Source organism: Homo sapiens, chromosome 2 (assembly GCF_000001405.40).
Source record: "Homo sapiens chromosome 2, GRCh38.p14 Primary Assembly".
In the NCBI taxonomy this organism is placed as follows: Eukaryota; Metazoa; Chordata; class Mammalia; order Primates; family Hominidae; genus Homo; species Homo sapiens.
This window is the reverse complement of record NC_000002.12, coordinates 184,283,937-184,297,229: the sequence shown is the minus strand read 5'-3', so window position 1 is coordinate 184,297,229 and position 13,293 is coordinate 184,283,937. Positions and strand designations below refer to the sequence as shown.

General features: G+C 31.9%; 2 long non-coding RNA genes across 4 annotated transcripts in view; one reads left to right on the top strand and one right to left on the bottom strand.

The window, feature by feature from the left end:
* The window catches only part of LOC102724340 (uncharacterized), a 246,221-nt gene that overhangs the window by 139,261 nt on the left and 93,667 nt on the right, over positions 1 to 13,293 (bottom strand). The gene's annotated exons all lie outside the window — the stretch shown is intronic.
* Positions 1 to 13,293, top strand: part of LOC105373776 (uncharacterized) — a 116,629-nt gene that overhangs the window by 98,159 nt on the left and 5,177 nt on the right. Inside the window, exon 3 of the long non-coding RNA XR_923650.3 lies at positions 5,226 to 5,267. This is a non-coding gene — a long non-coding RNA (uncharacterized LOC105373776). The remainder of the gene's footprint in view (positions 1 to 5,225; positions 5,268 to 13,293) is intronic.

The following is a 13,293-nucleotide window of genomic DNA, read 5'->3' as shown; positions in this document are numbered from 1 at the left end:
GAATAATACTGAGCAGCATAACTGTTTTGAAGTCCAAAACTATGTGCATGCTTGGAAAGTTAAGGTAAACATTTCCCTTCTCTTATGTGTCCCATCACCTAGTTGCCTTTCATTTTCAATAACACAACTGAAGATTTGGAGACAGTTTTACATTAAATTTATCACCTGTGCAGCAATAATTAATTTTTATTTTTTATACCCTCTGAAAACTACTGGTGAATATATAATTCTTGACCTTCTGGAATCCAAAGTTCACTAGAGGACTGTTAGGCATACTCAGTTGCTAGCTGGGGACCCTTACGTTAACAAAAATGCTATAATAATTTAAAGATGTATTATGTTGAAAGGAGGCGGAGATAAATATGAGCATTGATCTTCATTTTGATCTCTCATAGTCAACATAATTTTTTCTCTTGTAAGAACATATCTCATCTCAGAATGTGCTATATAAACAAGAATGTCACTTGTAAACTGCCAAAGATATATTTTCTCTGTGATATGTACACTGACTGCCTTCTAGACTAAAATTTCCAAAATTCCAGTATAAGTGGTGGATTGCTGGTGTATATAAACGAGAGTCTAAACAAAAATAATCGAATTGCTAATTTGATAAAGACTACTTTAAGAGTCCTTATACATAGCACATGATATACTCTGTAGGGGAACAAAAGAAGAAATTATGTGCTCTCTATTTTGATGTAGCCATCAATCTGATAAAATACTGTGAAATGAGGAAGGAAATAATGAAGTAACACAAATTGATACTGATTGTAACTGCAATGCAGGTTGCAAAAAGTAAAGAACAGTAGCTCAAAGAGAATTACATGAAGAAGGCAGAGTTTAATCTGGGATTTAGAGAATGAATAATGTTTCAATCAGGGAAAGAAAACATCTAAAGGCTTAAAAATAAAAAAATGCAAATATCTTGTAAGACATGATAATGTATATACTGAGCAAAAGAGATGAGTTGCTGAGTAATCTCTCCAAATAAGGCAGCTCCCATATAGTATAGGATAAAGGTGAATAAATACCAAGGAACACATTTATAGAGTCTTAAATGCCAGACAACAGAGTTTTTATATCTTCAGAAGGGAAGTGATAGGGTAAAGGCATATTTAGAAAAAAAAATTCACTAGTGCTTTCAAATAAGTTGGCCTAGGAACTTTTTCTAGGGGGCTTGAAGAAGAATCATAGGATGGGGTTATGAAAATGAGAATCAGGATGGTGAAGAGAGAGGAAAGACAGGGGCACAGCCCCAAAAGGTGCTGAAAGGAAAAAACATTTTACTTTCCTCCAGAAATATTTAGGGGAAAAAAATGAAAGCAAGGAAAGGCAGAAAAGATGTGAGGATCTCTAACTTTGAATAATAAAGTATGCACCAATGACTTAAGTGGGGATAATTTTAGAATAAAACCAATATGGGCAGGAAATACATTAATTTCACTTTTGGACATGATCATCTTAGGCTGAGGACAAAACATGTAACTGAATAAAAAGTAAGTACCGCATGAGAACAGAAGACGTTAAGTTTGGAATTCATCAGCAACATTGGGAGAGTAATTGAATGTTTCCTAGGATTTATTTTAATGCAAAAATTTGCTAGGAAGAAAATCTTGAGAAACACAGAAAGAAGTAGAGTAGAAAGAATGGTCAGAAACCATACAGGAAAAGTAGAAAAACATGTAAAATTAGATTTTAAAATGTAAAAAAAAAAAAAAAAAAAATTAAAAGTGAGGCAATCAGCTCTAATGTAATATACTTCATTTTATATCATGCTTAAAGTGATTTTTAGAGTAACTGCTATTTGCCATGTGATCTTTTATCACAGGAGCACTTAAGGAGAGGGGAAAGAGAACTAAAGAATGATTTTTAAACAATTGGCAAACCCCAAATCAGAAGACACAGTCAACCCCCTGACATGTGCACTTGGAGAAAATGCAAAAAAGAAAAAAATCTTAAAGCAAGTAATGCCCATTTCTACTTCCAAGTTCCCACTTTATATTAGAGACCAATTTACTGCATCAGCCAGTGAGTGAGGATTTGGTACAGTTTGAAACTGGTCCTTAAAGTGCATAAAATAATAATGATGATTAAGTCTAATTCTGAACTACAGTGTACTGTATGTACTTTATAAATCCCACCCCCACGAGTAATTAAGGAGAGAATCAAAGAAAACACAATGGGGAATTGCTATTACTGGGAACATCTGGACTAGAAGCAACTGAGCAAGTCTCTTTAAAGCCATGGCAAAAAACCAGATGACAGTTTTAAAGGCTAGCAAGGAAAACTGTGTTCTTATATTCACGTTTACTGGATTTGGCTCACCAAAGTTTTAATCTCAGGCAAACAGCCTGCTGCATCTTTGCTTAATACCTTCTGGGTGGAAACTAATTTTACTGTTGATTAGTTAGAAACATATTTGGGCTTCTACCACCACTTAAAGGGAAAGAATCAAACTATTATTTTTTTCACTTTACCAATCGTTTTATACCCAGACATATACATATATGTATATAAAATAACAGACAAATATATAAAAAACTATATATATAAGCTATATCATTATTTCATATAAAATGATAACATTTCCAAATAAAATGGAGTTATAACTTTACATGAAAATTTATTTACTTCAATGGAATAAAAGAAATGAATAACAAGATTCCTAAAATTTTATTTTTGAAATGACGCAGCATTGAAGTTCAACCTGACTCCCTTTACATAGTTATTACATTTCCGTAGTTATCCCACATAACTCTTCCCACATAAGCAGATTTTTTGCTTCTCTTCTTTCTTTTGCTTTATTGTTCTTCTTCTAACCTAAATTGCTGTAACTGATAAGCACCTGTCCAACACGTACCAGTTAATTGTCAAATGTTAACTTCACAATGTGTTTTATATCTAAGAAATGCACTTTCTCAATGTAAGCTTTGTTACTGTTTATTAAAGGTAAAATTCTGATATTTATAAAAGAATCATAAAAGAAAGAAGTGTCATACCACGTGGCATCTCCAAAAAAATACAGTGATGCCACCAAATTGATTTTTATGTGTTTACCTCTCTTCCCACCCAAAAAAAAATAAAAAAGAAAAAAAACTCTACAAACTGATAGAGCAAATTTATATTTGTCAAATCTTTCCCATATAGGTGATCTCTCTCATTTTTCCACTAATCTATAATCTCAAAATGTAATAAACTCCTTTGCTATAAAAGCTGTCTTCCAATGGTTTTTATAAATCAGCAAGTACAACAAACTTCTCATTGTATAGTATATGCTAAGCATATATTTTCAGATTTAATATGATTTAAATTTAAAAATAAAAAGTGCTATTTAAAAGAGATAGTTTTAACATAGTTTTTATAGTCAAAGTTCAATAAATACTAGCTGAAAAACTAACGAACTGAATAAATAAATAAAGCTCCAAGAATTTTATTTTGCTATTCACTATTTTTTATCCAAATTAGGCTTTTCTATACATATTGCTTAGAGAATATCCAAACTAAAGTTATCAGCACGAAAATACACACTATTATGTCTTTAATAATAAATCACCAAATTACTCAACTATTTCAAATCAGCTCCTTAAACAATATTCCCCTGGTCCTTTTCAGTGTTTCTGAGGACCTCTAAGGCAAGGGAAATTTAGAAGCTCGGTAACAGTGGTGAATAATATTTCACTGTGTGTCGTATATGCCACATTTTGTTTATCCATTAATTGCTTCCGGCTTTTGCCTGCTGTGAATAACGCTGCTATGAACACGGGAGTACAAATATCTGTTCAAATCCCTGCTTTCACTTTTTTAAGGTATACACCCAGTAGCGGAATTTCTGGATCACATGGTAACTCTATGCTTAATTTTTTGAGGAATTGCTGTACCATTTTCCACAGTAGCTGCATCATTTTACATTACCCCAGCAATGCACATGTTCCAATTTTCTAAAGCACTGCCTTTAAATAAACATTTCTTTTTAAATTAAGTTGCAGTATACTTTTAGAAAAGTATATGTAACATAAATGGACAACTTAATGAATTTTCTCAAAACACACATAATGCTGTAAACAGCATGAAGATGAAGAAAGAGGACATTTCAACACTCTGGAAGCCAGCCTCATATAGCTTCCCAGTTATTTGACCCTCTGAAAGGTAACCATTATCATAACAACTAATTGCATATACAAAATTGCATATACAATTTATTTTTATTTTTGGGATTTTTGCAGTTTAGACTCATTTGTGTCTGATTTCATTTGCTAAAAATTATGTTTGTGGTAGTCATTTATTTTGTTGAATGCAGTAATTGCTTGTTCATTTTCATTGTTATGAATATTTACATGTATAATATTATATATAATTATACATACATCAACATATAAAATTACATATATAATTTTATGACTACTCCAAAATATGTTTACCCATTCTAATGTTTATAGACCTTTGGGTGATTTATGTTTCATGGCAGCATGAACATTCCTCCTTTGGTGAACATATAAATGAATTTCTGTTATATATGAGAGTTGAATTGCTAGTTCATAGGATAGGCAAATGTTAAGCTTTATAGGTACTTTAAAAGAATATTCCAAAATTGTGCTACTTTTTTGTTCTTAACAGAAGATATGTAAGTGTTCCACTTTTTCCAGATTTTTGACAACATTTGGTATTGTTTTTATAATTTTTTTGTTTATAATATTTATTTCCCAAATGATCAATGAAGTCGGGAATCCTTTAATGTAACTATTGGGTATCTACATGCACATTTAAGTGCATGTCCAAGTCTCTGGCTCATTAATAAGTGCTGTCTTTGTCTTAATAACTCTTTTCTGGATATGAATATTTTGTTAAATATGTGTATGCCAAATGTCTTCTCCTACCTTTATGATTTGAATTTTCCCATGTTTAATGTCTCTTTTAAGTAACAGATGTTCTTAATTTTAGTACCGTATAATATATGAGTTTGTTTCTTTATGGTTAGTGAATTTTCTGTCCTATTTAAGAAGTCTTACAGAAATTCAGAAGACAGATTTGTACATATTCTTCTGGGAAAAATGTGTGTTCATCTTTATGTGCGTGTGTCTGCATATATTATTATTCCCTTCACATCTAGGATTTATTGTTTGCATATAGTATAAGGCTATGAGGCAGAGGGTTAAATTTGTTACTCTGACTTATGGATTCAACTGATCTAGCAAAGTGTGTTGAAAAGATGTTTTTTGTCTCCACAGCACTGTAGTGCCAAATTGTCATAGTGAGGAAAACATATATGTGTAAGTTGATTTCTGGACTCTATTTTTTTCTGTTAGTCTGTATATTAAGCCTTTCAATAATACCACATTGTTTTAATTATTATAATATTTTATTGTCTTAACATCTAATAAGAGTATGTATTCAAAATTATTCTAATTTCACATTATTTTACTTACTATTGGCCCTATTCTTTTACATACAATTTTTAGAATCAGCTTATATATTTTCACAAAAAAGAACAATAAATTAAAATTTATTGACTTTGTATGAGATTGTATTAGTATATAGGTCAATTTAATATTTCTACTATTGAGTTTCCAACCCATGGTTATGGTATATAACTGAATCAGTCTAAGTCATCTCAATATTTAATTCCTCTCAATGATTTCTGCTTATTTGTTTCCTGTATGGTGATCCTGTACATATTTTGTTAGATTCCTATGTTTTGAAGCATTTAATGCTGTCATAAATATGATATTTAAATATCCTTTCATATTGCTATGTATATGTCCAACTTGTTACTTCTAAACACAGCAAAACATTTCATGTTTATATTCACTGTGTTTTACTATCAACTGTCCCAGTTTAGCAAGATTGTCTTCAAAGCGTAGCCGCCTTTAATAGCACTCCAATTAATACTGATGTATATATAATTTTCAAAATCCAAATAAGATTTTCTTAATATTTCATTCTACCTGGGTATGAGATTACTGTATCCCAGGGTATGCCTATCTTTAATTTTCCTAAGATGTTCCCAATTGACATAGAGATGATTGTACCCAATACAAAGGCACAAGGAAATATGAAGTTTAAAAGTCTTTCCTCTTTTATTGCAGAGCTTTAAATTAGTCATAATCCGGCTTTTAAATTTAAAATGAGTAAAGTAATATCAATGTTTTATTTAGCACTTCTGAAAAACGTAGTATCACTATAAATATCCATTTATTTTCTTGTTAGTGTTCTGTGTCCCTTTTCCTGTAAACTACGTGTTTATATCTTTTGCCTAATACTTATCCTCTTTTTTGCATTTTTGTAAGAGTTTCTTGTATAGGCTATATATTATCCCTATGTCACTATTACCTGTTGGAAATATTCTTCTCAGTATATGTCACCTATGAAACTGATCTACAGTGTCCTTCAATAATTAATGTGTGCTATTATTAACCACTTAAAACACTTAACTACTCAACTCTAATGACCACTCATTGGTTCTTCCCTCATTCTAACTTTCCAAATATTTATGGTCCCACATTTATGAGCCCATAGTTCCAACTGTTTTCTAATAAATTGAGACAGGCACTTTGATACCTACAATTTCTGTCATGGAATCTTGGTGAAGGGGATTGAGAATATGAAGACAGGTAGATTTTGTAAACTTAGGTATATGCAGGGGACAGATTTTTTGACATAAGGCACCTTGTAAAATGTAAGTACTTTTAGAATTTTATAAAAAGTTTGCAGTGAGGATAAATCTTACTATGCAAAATGTAGATGAGCATATACCTAGACTCCATTATTAAATAGTCCACATGATATTATAGAAGGATATTAGAAATAAAGTGCTTGCATGTGAAATATGCTATTAGAGTTTCTGCTTCTTTATTTTTTCAGTACTATTCCCAAGGTATTGATTATCATACATAATTTATGCAAAGCACTTCAGACAAATGCATAAAGTAAATTAAAAGTAAATTGCATTAAAAATATACTGGATTATAGAGTATGTGCACTGGAAAAGATTAATAGTCTATTCTGCTATGTAAGCCTAAGGACCACATATTGATTTTTAACTCTCCTTGACTAAAAGAGATACTAGAGCACCACAGACAATGGTTGATTTTATATTTAGGTCAACATTCACATTTACATTTATATTGTATGTGTATAGTATAGAATATATATGCACATGTATATTATATTCACATGTGCATTTATATTGCACAAAATAAACATTACTAAAATTTTTTGAAGTAATTTTGAATAAATTAGTTTGGTCTGGAAAAAAAGTACAAAACTAAAACTAAAACCTATGTCTCAAAACAATTTAGAAATATCTAGTACTATCAGGTTTATCTTATTCAAATATATTATGCATATTATTATATTTAATCATTTATTCAGAATGAGTAAATGTCTCTCTATGCACAAAGGTTATAACAGCATTTTATGGTGAATGCTATTCTGAGGTTCAAGACACTTGTATCCATCAAAAGCAAAAAGTAGGCTTATTTTACTAGCTGAATTGTGCTATGGGTATATAAAGCATAACAGATTCAACAAGTTACCCACATTAGCAAGTAGTATAAATTATTAAAATAGTATTTAAAATAACCTTTTTTAAACTAAAGCAATTGTGTGAAATATAAACCCAAGTGGATTTGTCTTTTACATATTTCTTATGAGGAAAGAATCTACACTATCTAGAAAAATGGAGGTCCTTCTTTAGTTACATTACCGTGTATTTTTCTAAGTCTCTCTGAACAGTTCAGAGAGCAACTTCTTCCACACTACAAGTGCGCTATATAGTATGTTGCAAATGTTATAAATAATAAATGGCCTATAAAAAGGAATCACATTCATATATATCAAACACCCTACAAATGACTTGAATAAACCATTCAAGATGAACAAACCTAAAGCTTTAATCCACATAAGTGATGCATCGGAATAAAAACTATGGTTCACTTGGATCTTAGAGAAAGAAGTTGTAATATAACTTATTCACCATTAACATAATAGGCATCAAGAATTCAGGAAAAATGATATAGAAGGAGGCCTATTTTCTAGGATTTACTGTTTCTGCTCTGAAACAGAGAGGCAAGTCAGAAAGCAGGGTACATATTTTGTATCATAATATTTATTATATACAATATATAACTATATTATAATGTATATTATATTTAATAGATATTTTACTATTTGTAATATTTTCTCCTAATAAGTCATAATTTTTATCTTCCTCCCATGGGCTTTAGTGGTATGTGTCTATGATCTCTTTGTACAAAAATATCTACTCACAGTAATTTTAAAATGTATTCATGACTCGATTAGTCATATTCAGGAAAAAATAACATCAGATCAAAAATTGTAACTTGGTAGAATATCTTCCATTTGCTCTTTCAGATGTATGATCCATCCTTCTCCACCCTACTTTCTGCTCTTGAGACTGACCTGATCATTAACAGGGCTGCTGTGCTTCCTCGTTTCTGATCAGATTCGGTTAAAAATGGAAATATAACAGAAAAGTGCCAATGATATTTGTCAACTCAATAATTAAAATGAAAACCAGTAAGAACATCATACAGGGAAATACAACTAGAGGTTATCTTTGCTATCAGACAAAAATAACTTGATCTCCACCAGACAAAAATCTGCAACTTAACATCCAGATTCACATAGTCTGGGCCTATAATTAGTAGCAAATAGTAAGATCAATTACTGCTCTATGCTCCTAAAAAAATAAATAATTCTTAGAAGGACTTGTTAAATAATACCCCAATATGAAATTGAAGAGATTCTCAGTCTTTCTCTTGCTTAATTTCTAAGTTTTGGATAATTCTTACCAAAAAGTTAAGAGAGGTTCAGTCTGGAGAAGATGAAGAGTGAAGTCAGGGTATTTAACCCCCTTTGTTTCTTCTCTGTGGTGTCACCTTGGTTGACCTTGTCCTCAGCAGAATGATTTGGTCTCTCAAAGGTGACCTTCTCTAAACAAGTCTTTTTCTTTCCAGTTTCTGGCAATTTTTCTTTCCCTGTCCTATCAGGCAGGGGTTGGGGGTGACAGAAAATAATTATTTTTTTCTTCAGTTTCTCCTGAGATTACATCATTAGAAATGACTCTTTGTTAGTAAACTCTCATTTAATCATTCAATTTCGAGTGTGCTGTTTCCTACTGGGACCTTAAATAATACAGAACCAAACTTCCTCAAAGGACTAGAAATATTGCATAATGATATACTTAGTAGTAGCAGAAATATTGACAAAATGCTGTGCTTAATTTGTATTGCTAATAAAGTGGAAATAAACTAATCATGTTAAGGTGTTGGATAAATTATATTTGATATGTAATTGAAAATAGAATGGAAAAATACGTTGAAATAAAAAATAATTATGTTTGATATAAGATAGTGCTGACAAACAAACCAAGAAGTTAATGGGGGTGGGGCGAGGAAACTGTTTAAGAAGAAATGTACAAAATCAAAATCATCTATTTTCACTTAATAAGGAAAATCAGCTTTTCTCTTTAGTAAATTATCTTGCTGATTTGAGTTTTTAGGCAAAGATTACAGGCTCAATTGGCATTGCATATTTTCTATATGTTTTATCTCTTACCTTTCCCCCCGCTGTGTCCTCCCACAAGCTTCTGATACCTGAAGATAAGGCACCTTGAATATGCTGTGTAGCTTATTTTTATCCATGCTTGAGTTAGTTTCAAGGTTTATAAAACATTATTTTATATATTTTTATAAAGTCATAAAACAATGACTATACTGAAAATTAAAGAGTAAGTGATGGTTTATACATATTAACCTGTCAAGTACTTAAACATCATTTTACAGTCAGCATAGTGTTGTTTTATTTTGATTTCCCTCCCCCACGATGTGGATTTTGTTTACCAAACAAATAAATCAATGTAATTCTTAGTGTTTGAATTTCATTTATTTAAAATAAAGTGTTCTTAAGATTTATCTTAACCTAAATACACCAAAGATTTGTTTAGTTGTTTATTTTACATGTTTTTAAATCTTCTAGTACATATATACCTATTTTAATGAAAAAGCGTTTTCTTAATTATGTGGAAAACTCTATATCTTCTAATTTTAACTAAATACCAGAGGTATGAAAATATTGATCTACTAGAGTTTTGGAAAATATTTGTTGTCTTTTCCTTTTTGTATACTCTGATAGGGGTAGTTACTACATTGTTATCTATAACTTCAGAAACCTCTGAAAAAAAGCATATTAGTTTTCTTAGAAATACTTTATTCTATCACAATTGCTAAGCAGTTTAACACAAACTTCCCTGAGACCCAATTTAAGAATGCCCCCAAAACTTAAATATTCATTTTGTCTTTATTTCCCTCTAGCTGGACCCCTAGGATCAGGCCCCCGGGACCTACATATGTCTCTCAGATAAAACACCTCAGCCAACATGGACAGGAAGTTGAGTGAAATGCACTTGCTATGCAGAGACTGGCAGATGATCTCACACAGATGAGGTGTACTTGGATTTTACCTAAATCCTGGTCAGTCATGCAATCCAGTTTCTCAGCTACACAATCCTTTATGGGATATAAATTTCCCAATATATAATTTTCTCTGTGGCTTAAGAGCATCTGCAAAACACAGATAATTCCAAAAATATTTTGCAAGTCTCTTGGTGACTACAAACCTTTCTGATAGCCTAGGATCTAAGGATTATTGTGATTTTTGTCTAACTAGTAAGCACTTTTGAGATACACTGTGGGACACGCATTTTAAAAAATACCCTGCTCTCCTTTGAGTTAGCAAAAAAAAAAAGGAAAACTATTTATAGCTATAAAATATGTTAATATCAGAAATAACTGCTTTAATTGATCAAATAATGACACGCAGCTTGTCTTACATGAATGTTAAGCATTTTCTAAGTGTTTCTTTCAATACAAGAAGAGACTCTTAATGCAATTTCATTTCTTTGCTTTTCACATTTATCACATGCTCTATCCTGACTTAAAAGTGCAGCAATTATTTGTATACATTTTTCCTTACCCAGTTGTGACACTTCTCCACTCAAACCTAACATCCCACCTAGTTATGAACCTCTAAAATGATAGAAGAGTAGTAGTTATGATTCAAAAGCAGTATTTATATAATTTCTGATAAAAAAGAAAACCTTGGAGAATTTACTAATTTCAATAATAGTTAAATTGATTTTATATTATACCACTGCTTTTCTGTGGTAAGGAGAGAAAGTGGCATTTTGTGTCTGAGGAATGTTAACAAGAATGGCGATGAATATTTCATAGCAATACTCTTTGCCTTTTTGGATTTCTCTTTCAGGTTAGAACAATAATACAATTTATGTTTGCTCTTCTGTTTATCTATCTTTAGTGGCCTTGTAAGAGGAAAGTATCATGTAATGAGTTTATTCATGCTTTCTACTCCTTGAAAGGTCCTAGGTTTTCTTTGAAAATATAAATAAATGTCTACTGATCTGAGATACCATCCTAGCATTATTTAGCAGGAAGCTTAAAAGAAATAAAGATCTTTGTATAAGGTGTAAGGAAGGGGCTTAGTTTCAGTTTCAATTTTTTTTGCATATGGCTAGCCAGTTTTGCCAACGCCATTTATTAAATAGGGAAGCCTTTCCCCGTTGCTTGTTTTTGTCAGATTTGTCAAAGATCAGATGGATGTAGGTATGTGGCACTATTTCTGAGGCCTCTGATGTGTTCCATTGGTTTATATATTGGTTTTGGTACCAGTGCTGTGATGCTTTGGTTACTGCAGCCTTGTAGTATAGTTTGAAGTCAGGTAGTGTGATGCCTCCAGCTTTGTTCATTTTGATTAGGATTGTCTTGGCTATATGGGCTCTTTTTTGATTCCATATGAGATTTAAAGTAGTTTTTTCTAATTCTGTGAAGAAAGTAAATAATGGTAGCTTGATAGGAACAGCATTGAATCTATAAATTACTTTGAGCAGTATGGCCATGTCCACAATATTGATTCTTCCTATCTATGAGCATGGAATGTTTTTCCATTTGTTTGTGTCCTCAAGTCTTATTTCCTTGAGCAGTGGTTTGTAGTTCTCCTTGAAGAGGTCCTTCACATCCCTTGTAAGTTGTATTCCTAGGTGTTTTATTCTCTTTGTAGCAATTGTGAATGAGAGTTCACTCATGATTTGGCTCTCTGTTTGCCTATTATTGGTGTATAGGAACACTTGTGATTTTTGAAAATTGATTTTGTATCCTGAGATTTTGCTGAAGTTGCTTAACAGCTTAAGGAGATTTTGGGCTGAGACAATGGGGTTTTCTAAATATACAATCATGTCATCTGCAAACAAAGACAATTTGACTTTCTCTTTTCCTATTTAAATACGTTTTCTTTCTGTTGCTTGATGGCCCTGGCCAGAACGTCCAATACTATATTAAATAGGAGTGGTGAAAGAGGGCATCCTTGTCTTGTGCCTGCTGTCAAAGAGAATACTTCCAGATTTTGCCCATTTAGTACAATATTGGCTGTGGATTTGTTATAAATAGTTCTTATTATTTTGAGATACGTTCCATCAATACCTATTTTATTGAGAGTTTTTGGCATGAAGGGATGTTGAATTTTATCAAAGGCCTTTTCAGCATCTATTGAAAGACCTACACGTAAGACCTAAAATTATAAAAACCCTAGAAGAAAACATAGGCAATACCATTCAGGACATAGGCAAGGGCAAAGACTTCATAACTGAAACACCAAAAGCGATGGCAACAAAAGACAAAATTGACAAATGGGATCTAATTAAACTAAAGAGCTTCCACACAGCAAAACAAACTATCATCTGAGTGAACAGGCAACCTACAGAATAGGAGAAAAATTTTGCCATCTATCCATCTGACAAAGGGCTAATATCCAGCAAAGAAATTAAACAAATTTACAAGAAAAAATAAACAACACCATGGAAAAGTGGGCAAAGGTTATGAAGACACTTCTCAAAAGAAGACATTTATGCGGCCAACAAACTTATGAAAAAAAGCTCATCATCCCTGGTCATTAGAGAAATGCAAATCAAAACCACAATGAGATACCATCTCACGCCAGTTAGAATGGTGAACATTAAAATGTCAGGAAACAACAGACGCTGGAGAGGATGTGAAGAAACAGGAACATTTTTACACTGTTGGTGGGAGTGTAAATTAGTTCAACCATTGTGGAAGACAGTGTGGCAATTCCTCAAGGATCTGGAACCAGACATACCATTTGACCCAGCAATCCCATTACTGGGTATATACCCAAAGGATTATAAATCATTCTACTATAAAGACACATGTACACATATGTTTACTGCAGCACTATTTACAATAG